The sequence below is a fragment of the Homo sapiens genome, chromosome 10, assembly GCF_000001405.40.
Source record: "Homo sapiens chromosome 10, GRCh38.p14 Primary Assembly".
Lineage (NCBI taxonomy): Eukaryota > Metazoa > Chordata > Mammalia > Primates > Hominidae > Homo > Homo sapiens.
The window spans coordinates 78,653,986-78,671,018 of NC_000010.11; the positions used below are offsets into that span (position 1 = coordinate 78,653,986).

At 42.6% G+C, this 17,033-nt stretch overlaps 1 long non-coding RNA gene across 1 annotated transcript in view; it reads right to left on the reverse strand.

Moving 5' to 3' along the window:
- Window positions 1–17,033, reverse strand: part of LOC105378379 (uncharacterized) — a 112,024-nt gene that overhangs the window by 21,466 nt on the left and 73,525 nt on the right. Inside the window, exons 2-3 of the long non-coding RNA XR_946100.2 lie at window positions 11,790–11,967; window positions 5,963–6,047 (exon numbers count right to left, since the gene is read on the reverse strand). This is a non-coding gene — a long non-coding RNA (uncharacterized LOC105378379). The remainder of the gene's footprint in view (window positions 1–5,962; window positions 6,048–11,789; window positions 11,968–17,033) is intronic.

Genomic DNA, 17,033 nt, shown 5'->3' on the forward strand with positions numbered 1-17,033 from the left:
TTCACTTGTCTGGAGGATCTGGCATGTGTGATGCAGAAGCATGCAGGACACACTGAGGTCATGTTGTGAAGGGCTTTGAAAGTCAAGATGAAGACTCTGGGCTTCCTTGAGGAGGCATGAGGGCACATTGGTGGTTTTAAACAAGCAGAGTTTCATTTAGCACTATTCCTTGGGCTGAGTAACCTGGAGGTCCCTGGAAAGGCTCAACCCTAGAAGTGATTGCAGCAACGCAGGTGAGGATGCAGTGTAGGGCAACAGAGGTGGCATGTGGCAAGAGAGATCCAGGAGGTCAGATCAACTACATTTGGCAACTTTTGGATTTGGACCAGAGAAAGGTGGAAAATAAATGTTAATAATAAGAGAGTTGAAAACAAGGTAAGCTCATAAAATCAACTTGCTGACTTGTCAATTTGTAGATCACTTACTCCTAGAGTAGTCCACGTGAAACTTAGGCTGAATGGTCGGCACCAGGCAAAGACTTCACTTCCTTCTGTTATGCCTGGCTGTTGTCCAGTCTGGAACCTGAGTGATGAGGCTACTAAAAGTGAGCATGCAACCAGGAGTAGAATGAGCTCTAGGGCAAGGGTGATGTTTTCCTTCTTGATTATTTCAGCCTGAAGTGGGACCAAGCAGTTGAAAAGTACCACTGCCTCTCAGAGAGATGGAAGCCAAGAGAGTGGATCTGGAAGTCCAAGTGCTTAGAGGAACACTCTTGTGATGGAGACAGAAAAAGACAGCAGAAGATCTGGGAACAGCCTGCATTTAGAATGTTAGAGAAGGAAGGAGAAACATAAGAGGAGACTAAAGTCTTTAGAATAATTGGGCTACAAACCAGGATAATGTTCAGGGACCATTGGAGGAAGGACCCAATGGAGGAGGGAATTTCAGGAAAGAATCATGGTCAGTTGTGCCAATGACTGCAAATTATAGGAAATGAGGAAAGGAAAAATATTACATTTATGATGAGACTCAGCAGCCCCATTCCTGGAGAAGAGAATAAACAGCTCTCTGTACTGGACAGCTGAATTCTCCCCTTGCTGAGGAAGAGGTTCGAACAGACAAGCCCCCAGGGCCCCTTGGCTGAGCCCACACACTTTGGTCTCTCATACTCTGATGGGACTTTTTTCTTACCTGGATTGCAATGAAAGGTGTGCACAGGAGGTACAGTGAGCAAATCCGTACTCAGAGAAAATGCTAGAGTTGTCGCAGCCCATTTCAAAGACCTTGAGTGTTCACTGCATTGCCTCCCAAACTTTAACATGCATAGGGAGAATCCAGTTTATGATTTAGGGGATCTGGGGCAAGGTCTGAGAATCCTCATGCCTCGCAAGCTTCCAGCAGCTGCTGCTATACCTGCTCACTCAACTGCACTTGAAATCACAAAAGTCTAGAGCACAGCAACTAACTGGTGGTCCTGGCACCACTTGCTTCATCCAAATGTGTTTCTTTGACCAGCATAATCTTCTAAAAAATTAGATTTACTTGAAAACATCTAAAAATGTGCAGATTTCACGTTTTAATAATTCCAAATTCTGTCTTCTCTTGAAACCCTCAGGAGATGTGGCCATCCTGCCCTTACATGCTGGAACACAGCAAGTGCTGGAGCTGACCTGTGGCTGCCCATTTTAGACAGTTTCAATGCCCTCCAGCCTGCCCAAGTCCTCATGCCCAGGCCCACTGCACACCCCCATTGACACTGTCTCCTGGCCCATGCAACCCCAGAGTTTTCCACTTCTCATCTAGAGCCAGCCCCTCACTCAACAGAGGAGAAATGAACCCTAGAGAGGGCATGGGATGAGCGGGTGCTGCCACTGTTAAAAGCAGCACTGTGTTTCTGCACCCCAGGGTTTGTGCTCAGTAACTGTTTACTGAATGACCAAATACCCTTTTCCATTATTGTGCTAGGGTCAACAGCTGATGCTGGTGTCCACCCACGGTGCCCCCCTACCCTGGCCACAGCACACCCCCCTTTATCGATCTCCTTGATTAATAAACAGTCCATGTCAGAGAACAGGAGCCTAAATCACACATCTCTTTGTGCCTTTCTCCAGATTTCTTCTTTTGTTTCTTGGGGAGAGGCTGAGGCAAGTCAACTCACAAAAATGTGCTTCCACTGAATGGGATCCTGGAGTTTATCTAATAGGCAGGTTGGGAAAAATGAAAACGCTAATTACTTCAGGGAAAGATGGAAAATGAGTCAGCTGATTGGGCCACCAGGCAGCCAGTAGGAGCTGATTTTTTTTTTTTTTAAAGAGGATAATGACTTATTCTAGGGGATTTCAGTTGTGCACACACAACAAAAATAATTCCAAGTGTCTGCTAGCAAAATCCCACGCTGCCGAACATCGCGTTTGAAAATTAATGTGACAAGCTGGAGGCCTATTTGCCCCAAGATCAGAAGACAATGAAAGCTTCCTCCCCAGGAAGTTTCTCAGGGTAGAACCAGAAATCCGGAACTGGAGAACCCAGAGGGCAACGCCCCACCGGAGCCAGTGGACGGGAATCAGCTGGGACGCCATGCTGCCCTCCTTTGTCTGGGTGATCAGGCCCAGCCTCCCGAGTTACTGATGATCCATATGGAAGCTGGTGGGGCTGCACATTAATTGCCTTGTTCAACCCATCATTAAAATGATACGTCTCGCCTTCGGGAGCTGTGCTGGCTGGCGGCGAGTTGGGCACACCTCCTGGGTAGAGAGGTCTCCCAACAGGGCCCTACACACGCTTCTTTCTGAAGAGTTGCACGGTGATTTGGGGTTCATGCTGGTGCCATTGGACTCTAGGAACCAAGGACCCCAGGGCCCTTGCTCCCACTCTCCTTTCTAGCGGGCAATGGAATTAATGAACCCCGGGCAGCCCTGGATGCAGGGCACACTCGGTCCTTTACAGCTCTTTGTCTGCAGCCAGGCTCTTGTCTTTCAGAGCTGGCTGCCGCCCCGTCTCTGGAGCTGATGCAGCAGCCAGATAATGAACAGTATATCAGCGGAGGCGGCGGAGGGGGGCGACGGGGAGAGAGGCGAGCGCCCGAGCGAGTTGGACTGACTTATTATTCCTTCACTCTCAAACAAAACAAAATCATTGGCCTGCCAGGGTCATTAAGGACCCCGGGGTTGTCATAGAAACGACCTTTGGGGCCTGGTGGTTGTTAATGCATGAGTGACTGCCTGCATTGTGTGTGTGGGGAGAGGTCAGAGTTTTGTTGGTGGCTTAAGAAAGAAAGAAAGAGAGTGAGGAAGAAAGAGAGCCAGCACAAAGCCCAGGATTGGGCGGCTGACATTCAGAAGGAAGGTTGTCCGCCGTGGCATTGATTAGCTGTCTGGGATGGTGAAAGTCCTGTGCCCGGCACATAGTAGGTGCTCAGTAAATGTCTGCAAAGGTGAATGGACACGTTTCTCTGGTTAAAAATGCCCTCCTATGCCCACTCTGAATTCCACCTCCCCGTAACCCGGAAGCCACTCTGCCAATGCTCTCCCTGAGAGTGCTTAGACAGGTAATGCTCCATCATTGTTCCAGCCGAGAGTAACAAACTCACAAGTTTCAGGAGGCACTTCTATGCCTTCAACTTGGACAGGACAATTTTCATGGTTCCCAGGGACCCAGGAGGAACTCGTTGGGGTGGGTGGGCAGGGGCTTTTACAGAGGAGAAATATAGGACAACAGGGCCTCCTCTGTCAGCCTTGGATTTACAGATGCGCCTTCAACCCACTTTCTAACCAGGGCACTCTGTCCCCTGCCAGGAGACACTGAGCACCACCCGTGAGACGGAGCTCCCCCTACTGGCTGGTGTTCAGAGAGCTCAATCTCCAGGGGTTGACTCTCTCCAGCTTGTCGGGTTTCAGAACCAGCCCTGCTACTAACTCTCTGTGTGTCCTCTTGCAAGTCCTCCTTCCTCAGTTTCCTCACCTGGAACATTAGACATGGTCCAGATGACATCTACAGCCCATCCCAAGCCTTCTGTTCTGATGCCTCTGGGTGGGGGTGGGGGGTGGGGGGGGTGTCTTTTCTGAATTTAGGATTTTACTTTCCAGGTTGGAAGAAAACATTCTAGCCACCTTTTGGGGGTGATTATAGAACCATTTGATCTCTGAGATGTCTAAACCTGGTTGCCTTCTCTGGTGTCACCATAGAAGTGAGGAGGCCCGGGCCTTTCAAGATCCTCTAACACTGTACTGCTTATGTTAACTGTAACACCATGTCCCCTGATAGCCTCTTGAAGTCTCCTTGTCACATTTGGAGGCCAATCCCAGGACCTGCCCACTGGAGACACACTCACTTAGCATTTACTACTAGAGTAGCTTCTTCTTAAAAATAGTTTCAGGAATCTGTCTGAAACCTTACCTGGCAGATTCTCAGATCTTTGCTCAAGCAAACCAGACTATCACTCACAGAATCCCTTCTTCAGCTCATGGACCCCAGAACACAATGGCTGCAAAACCCAGGTCTCTGATGTGGGCCCAGAACGAACAAACACCTCATCTCAGTGAATCGCAAATGCCTGCATTGCACATCTGTGCTCTTTTGCAAGGACTTTGCTGGGATTCGTGATGAGCACACCTATTACAGAATCTGGAGTGAGAGTGCCCAGTACAGCGGGGGTGGGGGGGTCCCTTGTGGGCAAAGGACCATCACATTCATCTACAGCACTGAGCCTGGTTCCTGCCCTGGAGTAGCAATAAGATATTGGAGTGAATGTTTGGTTCCAGTCTTTCATTTAATTCTTATAAAAAGGCAAGCAGCTACATCCCCCACAGAGCAGATGAGGTATCAGACAGGAGGAAGTGTGACTTGTCCAAGGTCACAGGAGGAGCAACTTTAGAAGCCGGACCCACAAGCTCCAGTCTGTTATGGCTCCGCCCACAGTGCTGCCGAAGCTGTCACCTGCGTGAGTACCAGAGAGTAAGAAGCGAAGAATCTTGTTATTTATGCTCATGTTGCATAAAATGTTATGCTCAGATAGAGTCAGTTTACCTTTGTTTTTGTTTTTAAAATCTGCACAACTGATTTGCATAACTGTCAGGGCCATGGCCTGGCACCTGTTCCCCTGTGTGTACAACAGAAAGGAGACTTTTGCCTACAGTCGAGCATGTTTTACTTCCTTTCTCATTAGTTGCAGAAAGAGAGAGGACTGTGCCCAGCTTGGACTCCAGTTCAAATCCCACTAAAACATGCTGAATCCTCTGTTTGGCATAAAACACGCTGAATCCTCTGTTTGGCATAAAACACCCAACTCAGATTGTTGACATATATTCTCTTTTCAACAAACTGCATCTTCTCAAATAAGTGAGAAGACAAAAATCCATCGAGTTTCCTGGTTTCCAGAGGTAAGAGAATTCAAGAGCAAACACTTCAGCATGCTGGAGCTTAAGTTTCCAAGAAAAGAAATGAGGAGTTGCTGATTTGGAGAAAAGGCCCCAGGCTAGACATGACTAGCTTACCTGGGGTTGCAATTGCTTCTAGCTCATGTGGTAACCTTTCACAAGTCACTTCCCCTTGTAGAGTCTATTTCTACTTTTCTAAAACATAAGGGAGCCCAAACTTTGAAATGTTGTAATTCTGAAGCTTAGGTTCCTATAAAGGATGATAAACTCCAGAGTATTTGTATTTAATGAAGTTTAACACCAGGTTATAAAATAGAGCTTCCTGGGAGAATGAGCCATCATCTAAACCAGCAGAATTGAACAGAGTGTTTTACTTTGCATTAATATGTTCCCTTAGGGACAAGGACAAAACCCAACATTGTAAAAAATGTCTTGAATATTTGCATATTGCATATAGAATATTTGCATGCAGTATTTATGTAAAGCATGATGCTTATTTTTCAGGGTGGGAAGGGGGAAATCTAGTAACTTGCTCAGTATCAGGTGCTTTTCATACAGCATTGAATCTTCAGCAACCCAAAGATGCATGGTATTCATTGAACCTCTAGAGAAACTGAAGGCCAGAGTAGGGACTTACCCATAGTTACCTGGTAAAATGCAGGGATATCCTTATTCCTTTACAGCACTTTTCTCTCCTACAACTTAACAACATTCACAGTGTAAGAGATATGCCTGGAATAATGTAAAAGAAATGAATTTAGCTCAGTGGGTTTTTATTCATATTCCTCTCTAGGTGGAAGTTTAGACAAGGTGGCCTCTAAGATCCATTTCACCTTTTTCTTTTTTTTTTTCTTTTTTTGAGATGGAGTCTCGTTCTGTCACCCAGGCTGGAATGCAGTGGCACGATCTTGGCTCACTGCAACCTCCGCCTCCCGGGTTCAAGCGATTATCCTGCCTCAGCCTCCCTGAGTAGCTGGGATTGCAGGTGTGTACCTCCATGCCCAGCCAATTTTTGTATTTTTAGTGGAGATGGGGTTTCAGCCTGTTGGCCAGGCTGGTCTCGAACTCCTGACCTCGTGATCCACCTGCCTCAGCCTCCCAAAGTGCTGGGATTACAGGCGTGAGCCACCATGCCTGGCCCAATCCATTTGACTTTTAAACCCTAACTTTCAGTTACTCATTTAAACAGTATTTACCAAGATGAATTCTGAAACATAACACACCCAAGAAATATTCCAGGGAAAGCATGTTTTGTGGTCAAATATGTTTGGAAAATATTGCAAGTTGTATCCTCAATTAGAGACTTACAGTGCACATTACAAAATATCAAAGGCTCTGATAAGGCCTACAACAAAAGCTTGCATAACTGTTTGATCCATTTGCCAAAATTATTGCATTCTGAACCCACATAACACTTATGAACATTTAATGAAATGACTTTGCTATTTAACACACTTGGAAAGCATTAGAATAATTGTAAAGTTTATGAATCTGCATCTCCCTCGTGTCTTGCCTTCTATCCTCTCTGCGAGCAGAGAAACAGTGGCCCTCAGGAAGGGTCATGGGCAGGGAGAGAGGATGAGGGGAGAGAGTCCATTTAAGGTTAACCAGGGCTCGTGTCCAGCTTCTGCTTGGAAGACCGACTCACCCGCTGCTCTTAAAATGCTGGGAGAGTCCACTCATGAAAAGCAAGAACCTGGATCAACTCTGATTTCCTCCATGAGAAATAGTCATTGCTCCAGCAGTCTCGGAAACTTTGATACGATAAATATTTTGATGCTTTCTGTATATTTATATAAGCCCATTTATTGATGAAAACAAAATGTGTCACATTTCTGTTTTGATCAGCCCTTTTAAGGAATTTCCCCACTCCTTTCCATTCTAAGCTGGAAACACCCAAATCTATACACAATAGAGTCTCACTGGACATGTCATTTATGGAAGTTGTTCCCTTGACTTGACTTAGTTAATTCCAGTGCATCCTTTATATCACAGCTTATATGTCACTTCCTCCTGGACTGGTTCCCTGCCTGCAGACTAGATTTAGTCTGCTTTTTCTGCTTCTAGGACAGCCTGGGATAGTCTGTGAGAGCAGTCATTAGGGCTGATAATTATATAGCCCTAAGAGTTTCTTTATAAATGTCTGATTCTCTCACTAGACTGTCAATCTCATGAGGACAAGGGCCATGCCTATTTGTTCATACTGCTTCCCAAATACTTAGCATGGACTGGCTAAATAGGCACTAACTAAATATTTGTTGGATGAGTGAATGAATGAACAAATTTCCATGTGAAGAAACAGGCTTCATCTGCCTGGACCCTACATCAATCTTTTGTACTCCTGTGCTACCAACTGTGATTTTGCTCTTCTATTTAAACTCTATTTCACCCGTCAAGTTTGATACATGATCTTATGTCTCTCAATGCCTGGCCTTGCCTCCCTCTCTTGCCACCTCTTTGGATACATCACTCACAAGCCGCTAGGCAACGCCCACCCATCATAACCCTTCTTCTACCCCACTGGGCTGACCCCAATCAGATTTCCTGCCCATAGGAAGACCACCAGAGGGGTTTGTGATTTGTTACCTACAAATAAAATCATTGACCTTCCAATATCAAAGCTACCTTAAAGGTCACTTGTTCAATTTCACCTTTTGTCTGATGAAGAGAGCGGGAATCAGACAAGATAGGTGAATTGTCCTTGGACAGAGAGCAGGAGGAAAAAGGAGTCCCTGGGATCCATTCCATGTCAGCATTCATTTCAAAACGGTGTCTGCTTGTTCATTTTTTAAAGTAAAAATTTAAATTGGTACATGCATGACATTCAAGAAGCATAAAAGGATTCTAAAATGCTATACAAAGAGTGCTCATTACACTGTATGTTTATACTGTCACTTACTCCCATTTTACTGATGAGGAAACTGAGCCTTATAATTACTAAATAGTGCCTCTAGGACTTGAACTCAAGCCTGCCTCTTCAGAGTCCTTTACTTTACTGAACCCTAAACACATGTAATTGGTTCAAGCTAAAGTGGCCTTCTATAAGCTCTAGACCCTGAGCTACTTAGAAACAAGATCACAGCCTGGCGCGGTGGCTCACGTCTGTAATCCCAGCACTTTGGGAGGCCAAGGCAAGTGGATCACCTGAGGTCAGGAGTTCAAGACCAGCCTAGCCAACTTCGTGAAGCCTTGTCTCTACTAAATATACAAAATTTAGCCAGGCATGGTGGCAGGTGCTGTAATCCCAGCTGCTCAGGAGGGTGAGGCAGGAGAATCACTTAAACCCAGGAGGCAGAGGTTGCAGTGAGCCGAGATTGTGCCACTGTACTTCAGCCTGGGTGACAGGAGTGAAGCTCCATCAAAGAAATAAAGAAACAAACAAACAAACAAACAAACAAACAAGACCACATACACCTTATTTATCTTTGGCAACACCAGTTCCTAGTTCAATATATTGTCACATAATAGGTCCTAAATAAACATTTAAAGGATGAATAAATTAATGAGGAAATTCACAATAATTAAAAGTTTGAAGCAACAGTTAGCATAGCATGATTTTCATGAACGATGGGCAGGGCAAAGAAGACAAGGCTATACATTTATCTCAAAAACTCATAGTGGCTAGAGAGAAACATTTGCCTCCTTAAGCTGAATGAACTTGTAGAGAATAATTTTTTTTGCTGCAAATGCTTAGGATATAAAAATCTGTATATATCTTGTTGAAACAGCCTAGATATGAGCATAATTGCAGTGATGTGTTACTCTCCAAATTAGAAACTAGAAATGGTGGTGGAAGGAAGGTAGGAATCATGGAGGGACACATGTCCTCTTCTTACCATTAAAGTTGATATAACCATTAAACTCTATATAATCATTACACACACGTGTATGTATGGTGTGTATGTACAGTATTAACCAACTGCTTTGAGAAAATTGTATGAAAGGTTAGACTGTTGAGAATCTGCATGCATGAATTTGAATATATGGGAGGAAGTGTGATTTTAATGCTTTTGGATATATATCTTAACCCTGCCTTGGAGGTTTTCAAGAAGTAGTTTCAATAAATGTAATTTGCCTTGTAATTAACACATTGAATGCTTCTAAAGTGCCCTCTTTGTCTTTTTTTTAATAGTTTTAAGCCATCCTTTGTCTTGACATTTGTCACTTGCTGAAATAATCCCTCTTTTCCATTTATACCACAAAGGTGAACCTCACCCAAGCCCCAGCATGGTGAAACTCAGAAATTCCAGGAGGAGAGGGTATTTAAAGTGAAGTCATGTGATATGTAGAATTGTGGCCCCTGCCCCACAGGACTTTGAAGACTATAAATGTTAAAGTATGATATACGTCAGTTAGCACCTTGTTTGGCATGCAGTCCTTGCTCAAAACCCAGCAACTATGTATTGAAGCTGAGTGGGGTGGGGGGTGAACCAGGCTGAAAGTGGGGAAGACAAGGCAGAAGAATGGGCTGTAGACCAGATAATGTTCATTTTCCCCAGGGCTCCTAGGATTGTTTTGGTAATTACTCCAGCTTCTTCAACAGCTTGTGATTTGTCCAGTGCCAGGGAACCTGAATTTGCATTGCACAATGCATAATTCATACGGCATGGAGAGCAATTATGAGCTAATTGAGGGTTGTAATGTTTAAAGACAGGACTCATTATCAGGAACATAAGGGATGTTGGGAGGGGAGAAGCTCTGGAGTCCATGGAGGCTCGTTCCCTCTAATTCCGCTTTCCTTAAGATGACTGTAATTGTCTCTTGAAGGGCACTGAAGTTCTCTCCTAGAAGAGGTTCTGGAAGCTGGGCAGCGGTAGCTGCTCCTCCTACTAGAAGAGGGCTGAAAGTGGGCTAGGATGGGCTCCTCCTTCTAGTGCTTTTGTTTGCCTAGTCGTCCACCTTGCCATGTTGACACAGTTATCTGGATTAATATGATTAGAGGGATGTGATGTTCCCATAACTACAATTTCCACTTCCTGGGGGTAGGGACAGTCTGGGAAATATAATTTGGTGCAGAACTTATGGAATTTCCAATAGAAAATCATCTCTTCCAGAAATTATAGGACAGTCCATTTAAATAGAAACTTCATTGGAAAATCCAGGAGCTGGGCTATGAAATTATAAGGAACCCTGGGCTGGTAGCAATAAGCTTTGAATCTACTAATGACTAGGTTAACCTCTCACTGAAAGGCTCTTGGAACATTACCACCCCTCTCTGGCCCTCAGTTTCTCCATCTGTACAATGAGGAAATTGAGTGAGACGGCCTTCTAAGGTCCTCCCAACTCTGATATGTTGTTTCTGTGCATCACACCTCATCCTTCTGACTCAAGGTTTTAAAGTATCTTGACAGGTCAGCCTTTTTTCTTTGGAAACCAGCTGTGTGCTCTTTAAAACTCAGAAGACATAGTGTGATTGTTACATGCAACAGAAACATTTTTAAGTTGGTTGTATAAGAATATAGCCAAATAAATCACTTTTCCATTGGCTTTCATTACAAAATCAGATATGGTGCATATCTCAAAATACTGAATCAAAGATATTTTAAGTGTTTGTATCAGCATTTACTCTCTCTGGTGTGTGGGAAGTTGTGATAAGTTGAGTCATGGTGTGCTGTTTATGTTTTGCCACCTTTTCAGAACTCCACAGACCTTAGCATATCTCTCATTTAAGGATTGTTTCAGCATAGACTTTTTGGCGTTTACTTTTTATTCTCAACCAAATATTTTGATATCATATGAAGTACTCCCCTTTACAAGCTAGCTGTAATTACCACGACTACTTGAGCTGGGCTGCAATATCATACCTCACCAGTAGAGGCCACTTTCTGATACATGATACACATAGCCTGAAGTCCAAACAATCATGGGCTAATACTAAGGGTAGAAGAGGTCTTTAAGATCATTTTGTCCCAATAAGCCTTATAAATAGTTCCATGCCTTATCACATCTGAAAATTACACATTTTGTAAAACTAACGTGCTTAAACTGAAGAGTGCCTGTCATTGACTCTCATGTAGCTTGCACAGTGTCTCTTCATTTAAACAGGGCACCTGGCCAGTTTGCATGCCTTTTGAATAATGAGGACATTTGGCATATTCAAGGTGGAGATTGTGTTATTCTCTGCCTGTGGTGCTAATGCAGCTATTTATACTAGGAGCCAAAGCAGATCTTTCACCGGAAAGTTGGGCTGTCATGTCTGTTTAAGCATTCAAACCAGCTCCACAGCTTATTTGAGAAGACTTTCAAATGGGTTTTCGTCCAGGGTAATTGATCACCTGCAGGCTAAGGATTTCTTTCTTTTCTTTCCTTTTTTTCTTCAAATAGCTTTTCCAACAATTTAAGAAACTCTTCCTTAAACCTCAAGAAAGACAGAAAGACAACCTTAAGAAAGTGAGTGTCTACTTACAAGGTCTAGTTTTGGGAGCTTCAGGGTCAACAGTCAGGATACACCAGACAAAGGAAACTCTTATTTACCTTGGAGAATGGGCAGCAATAAATTCACGGCTGACTTTTCAGATCATCTTTCTCCACTGCAATCATAGGCAGCAGCTCCAGAAAACAAACTCATTCCCTTAGCAAGCAGCAGAGATGTTCTGGTTGGCCCCAGTTGGCTTCTTTGGGCAGGAGGATTGATGGCCTCTGCTGTTACATCCTGGTGAGAATAACCACTCATGAACACCCCATATTTAATCTTTATTTTGGAGTCTTCTTAAGCGAGAAATTGCAGTAAAACAAAATAGCCATGTTGCTCCAAGGGTTAATTAGACATAGCCCAGAAAAAGCGATTTCCCTCTTTCTGCCTTAAATTTTAGGGTTTTCATGCTGAGTGACTGTTGGCTTCTGCCCAATGGAATAAGATAAATGGGAGTTCCTGATTCGGATTCCCCTCTGTTCCCAGCTGTTATTTCTCAGTTTTCTAAAAAGGGGGAAACTCTTTGAACCTGCTGCTGTTCACAAACCTGGGACTTGACTCTCTCCCCTTTTGGTTTGGGTCCCGGTATCTTTAGGAGGAGATGATCAGAGTCCCTCTCTCAATGGACTTGTCATGCTGATGTTAAAATAATTTCCATCTCCTTTCTCCCTTCCTCAATCAGGCTGAACATTTTAATTATGAAATTGGCCACTGTGTTCTGGCTTTTTCATTGAGTTGTGAGTTGTCCAAAGTGACATCAAGATCTTTTCTCTTTTTTTCCCTCAAAGGTTATAACTAATTCAAAATCCATCAGTTCTTGCAAACACTTTGAATTGTTCCCTTAAACTTAAAACAAAATTTACAAGAAATAAACAACCCCATAAAAAAGTGGGCAAATGACATGAACAGACACTTCTCAAAAGAAGACATTCATACAGCCAACAAACATGAAAAAAGCTCATCACTGATCATTACAGAAATGCAAATCAAAACCACAATGAGATACTATCTCACACCAGTTAGAATGGTGATTACTAAAAAGTCAAGAAACAACAGATGCTGGCAAGGTTGCAGAGAAAAAAGAAAGCTTTTACACTACTGGTGGGACTGTAAATTAGTTCAACCATCATGGAAGACAGTGTGGCAATTCCAGAAAGATCTAGTAGCAGAAATACCATTTGACCCAGCATTCCTATCACTGGGCATATACCCAAAGAAATATAACTCATTCTATTATAAAGATACATGCGTGTGTATGTTGATTGCAGCACTGTTCACAATAGCAAAGACATGAAATCAACCCAAATGCCCATCAATGGTAGGTTGGAAAAAGAAAATGTGGTACATATAGGTGGCTGGCAAGATGACTGAGTAGGAACAGTTCTGGTCTCCAGCTCCCAGTGAGATCAACACAGAAGGCAGGTGATTTCTGCATTTCCAACTGAGCCTCCACTGGTGATACCCAGGCAAACAGGGCCTCATGTGGACCTCCAGCTAACTCCAGCAGACCTGCAGCAGAGGGGCTTGACTGTTAGAAGGAAAACTAACAAACAGAAAGGAATAGCAGCAACATCAACCAAAAAGACATCCACACAGAAACCCCATCCGAAGGTTACCAACACCAAAAACCAAAGGTAGATAAATCCACGAAGATGAGGAAAAACCAGCATAAAAGGCTGAAACTTCCAAAAACCGGAATGCTTTTCTCCTCCAAAGAATCACAACTCCTCGCCAGCAAGGTAACGAAACTGGGTGGAGGATGAGTTTGACGAATTGACAGAAGTAGGCTTCAGAAGGTGGGTAATAACAAACTCCTCCGAGCTAAAGGAGCATGTTCTAACCCAATGCAAGGAAGTTAAGAACCTTGAAAAAAGGTTAGAGGAATTTCTAACTAGAATAACCATTTTAGAGAAGAACATAAACGACCCGAAGGAGCTGAAAAACACAGTATGAGAACTCCGTGAAGCATACACAAGTATGAATATCTGAATCAATCAAGCGGAAGAAAATATACCAGAGATTGCAGATCAACTTAATGAAATAAAGTGTGAAGACAAGATTAGAGAAAAAAGAATGAAAAGGAACAAACAAAGCCTCCAAGAAATATGGGACTATGTGCAAAGACCAAACCTACATTTTATTGGTGTACCTGAAAGTGACAGGGAGAGTGGAACCAAGTTGGAAAACACTCTTCAGGATATCATCCAGGAGAACTTCCCCAATCTAGCAAGACAGGGCAACATTCAAATTCAAGAAATATAGGGAACAGCACAAAGATATTCCTCAAGAAGAGCAACCCCAAGACACATAATCATCAGATTCACTGAGGTTGAAATAACGGAAAAAATGTTAAGCACAGCCAGAGAGAAAGGTCGGGTTACTCACAAAGGGAAGCCCATCAGACTAACAGCAGATCTCTTGGCAGAAACCCCACAAGCCAGAAGAGAGTGGGGGCCAATATTCAACATTCTCAAAGAAAAGAATTTTCAACCCAGAATTTTATATCCAGCCAGGGTAAGGCTTCATAAGCAAAGGAGAAATAAAATCCTTTACAGACAAGCAAATGCTGAGAGATTTTGTCACCACCAGGCCTGCCTTACAAGAGCTCCTGAAAGAAGCACTAATTATAGAAAGGAAAAACTGGTACCAGCCACTGCAAAAACATACCAAAGTGTAAAGACCATCGACACTATGAAGAAACAGCATCAACTAATGGGCAACAAAACCAGCTAGCATCATAATGATAGGATCAAATCTCACATAACAATATTAACCTTAAATGTAAATAGGCTAAATGCCCCAATTAAAAGACACAGACCAGCAAATTGGATAAAGAGTCAAGACCCATCGGTGTGCTGTATTCAAGAGCACAATAGCCATCTCACATGCAAAGACACACATGGCTCAAAATAAAGGGATGGAGGAATATTTACCAAGCAAATGGAAAGCAAAAAAAAAAAAAAAAAAGCAGGGGTTGCAATCCTAGTCTCTGATAAAACAGACTTTAAACCAACAAAGATCAAAAGAGACAAAGAAGAGCATTACATAGTGGTAAAGGGATCAAAAGAGACAAAGAAGAGCATTACACAGTGGTAAAGGGATCAACGCAACAAAAAGAGCTAACTATCCTAAATATATATGCACCCAATACGAGAGCACCCAGATTCATAAAGAAAGTTCTTAGTGACCTACAAAGAGACTTAGACTTTCACACAATAATAGTGGAAGACTTTAACACCCCACTGTCAATACTAGACAGATCAACGAGACAGAAAATTAACAAAGATATTTAGGATTTGAACTCAGCTCTGGACCAAGTGGACCTAATAGACATCTACAGAACTCTCCACCCCAAGTCAACAGAATATACATTCTTCTCAGCACCACATTGCACTTAATTGACCACATAATTGGAAGTAAAGTACTCCTCAGCAAATGCAAAAGAACGGAAATCATAACAAATAGTCTCTCAGACCACAGTACAATCAAATTAGAACTCAGGATTAAGAAACTCACTCAAAACTGCACAACTGCATGGAAACTGAACAACCTGCTCCTGAATGACTACTGGATAAATAACAAAATTAAGGCAGAAATGAGTAAGTTCTTTGAAATCAATAAGAACAAAGACACAACATACCAGAATCTCTGGGACACAGCTAAAGCAGTGTGTAGATGGAAATTTATAGCACTAAATGCCCACAGAAGAAAGCAGGAGAGATCTAAAGTCAACACCCTAACATCACAATTAAAAGAACTAGAGAAGCAGGAGCAAACAAATTCAAAAGCTAACCGATGACAAGAAATAACTAAGATCAGAGCAGAACTGAAGGAGATAGAGACATGAAAAACCCTTCAAAAAAAATTAGTGAATCCAAGAACTGGTTTTTTGAAAAGATTAACAAAATAGATAGACCACTAGCCAGATTAATAAAGAAGAAGAGAGAAGAATCAAATAGACACAGTAAAAAAATGATAAAAGGGATATCACCACTGATCCCACAGAAATAAAAACTACCATCAGAGAATACTATAAACACCTCTATGCAAATAAACTAGAAAATCTAGAAGAAATGGATAAATTCCTGGACACATACACCCTCCTAAGACTAAACCAGGAAGAAGTCGAATCCCTGACCAGACCAATAAGAAGTTCTGAAATTGAGGCAGTAATTAATAGCCTACCAAACAAAAACAAAGCCCAGGACCAGATGGATTCACAGCCAAATTCTACCAGAGGTACAGAGAGGAGCTGGTACCATTCCTTCTGAAATTATTCCAAATAATAGAAAAAGAGGGACTCCTCCCTAACTCATTTTATGAGGCCAGCATCATCCTAACACCGAAACCTGGCACAGACATGACAAAAAAAGAAAATTTCAGGCCAACATCCCTGATGAACATCGATACGAAAATCCTCAATAAAATACTGGCAAACTGAAATCCAGCAGCACAAAAAGTGTATCCACCATGATCAAGTCAGCTTCATTCCTGGGATGCAAGTCTGGCTCAACATACGCAAATCAATAAACATAATCCAACACATAAACAGAACCAATGACAAAAACCACATGATTATCTCAATAGATACAGAAAAGGCCTTTGATAAAATTCAACACCCCTTGATGCTAAAAACTCTCAATAAACTAGGTATTGATGGAATGTATTTCAAAGTAATAAGAGCTATTTATGACAAACCCACAGCCAATATCATACTGAATGGGCAAAAACTGGAAGCATTCCCTTTGAAAACCGGCACAAGACAAGGATGCCCTCTCTCACCACTCCTATTCAACATAGTATTGGAAGTTCTGGCCAGAGCAATCAGGCAAGAAGGAAGAAATAAAGGATATTCAAATAGGAAGAGAGGAAGTCAAATTGTCTCTGTTTGCAGATGACATGATTGTATAATTAGAAAACTCCATCATCTCAGCCCTAAATCTCCTTAAGCTGATAGGCAACTTCAGCAAAGTTTCAGCATACAAAATCAGTGTGCAAAAACCACAAGCATTCCTATACGCCAATAATAGACAAACAGAGAGCCAAATTGTGAGTGAACTCCCATTCACAATTGCTACAAAGAGAATAAAATACCTAGGAATACACCTTACAAGGGATGTGAAGGACCTCTTCAAGGAGAACTACAAACCACTGCTCAAGGAAATAAGAGAGGGCAACAAATGGAAAAACATTCTATATTCATGGATAGGAAGAATCAGTATCATGAAAATAGCCATACTGCCCAAAGTAATTTATAGATTCAATGCTATCCACATCAAGCTACCATTGACTTCCTTCACAGAATT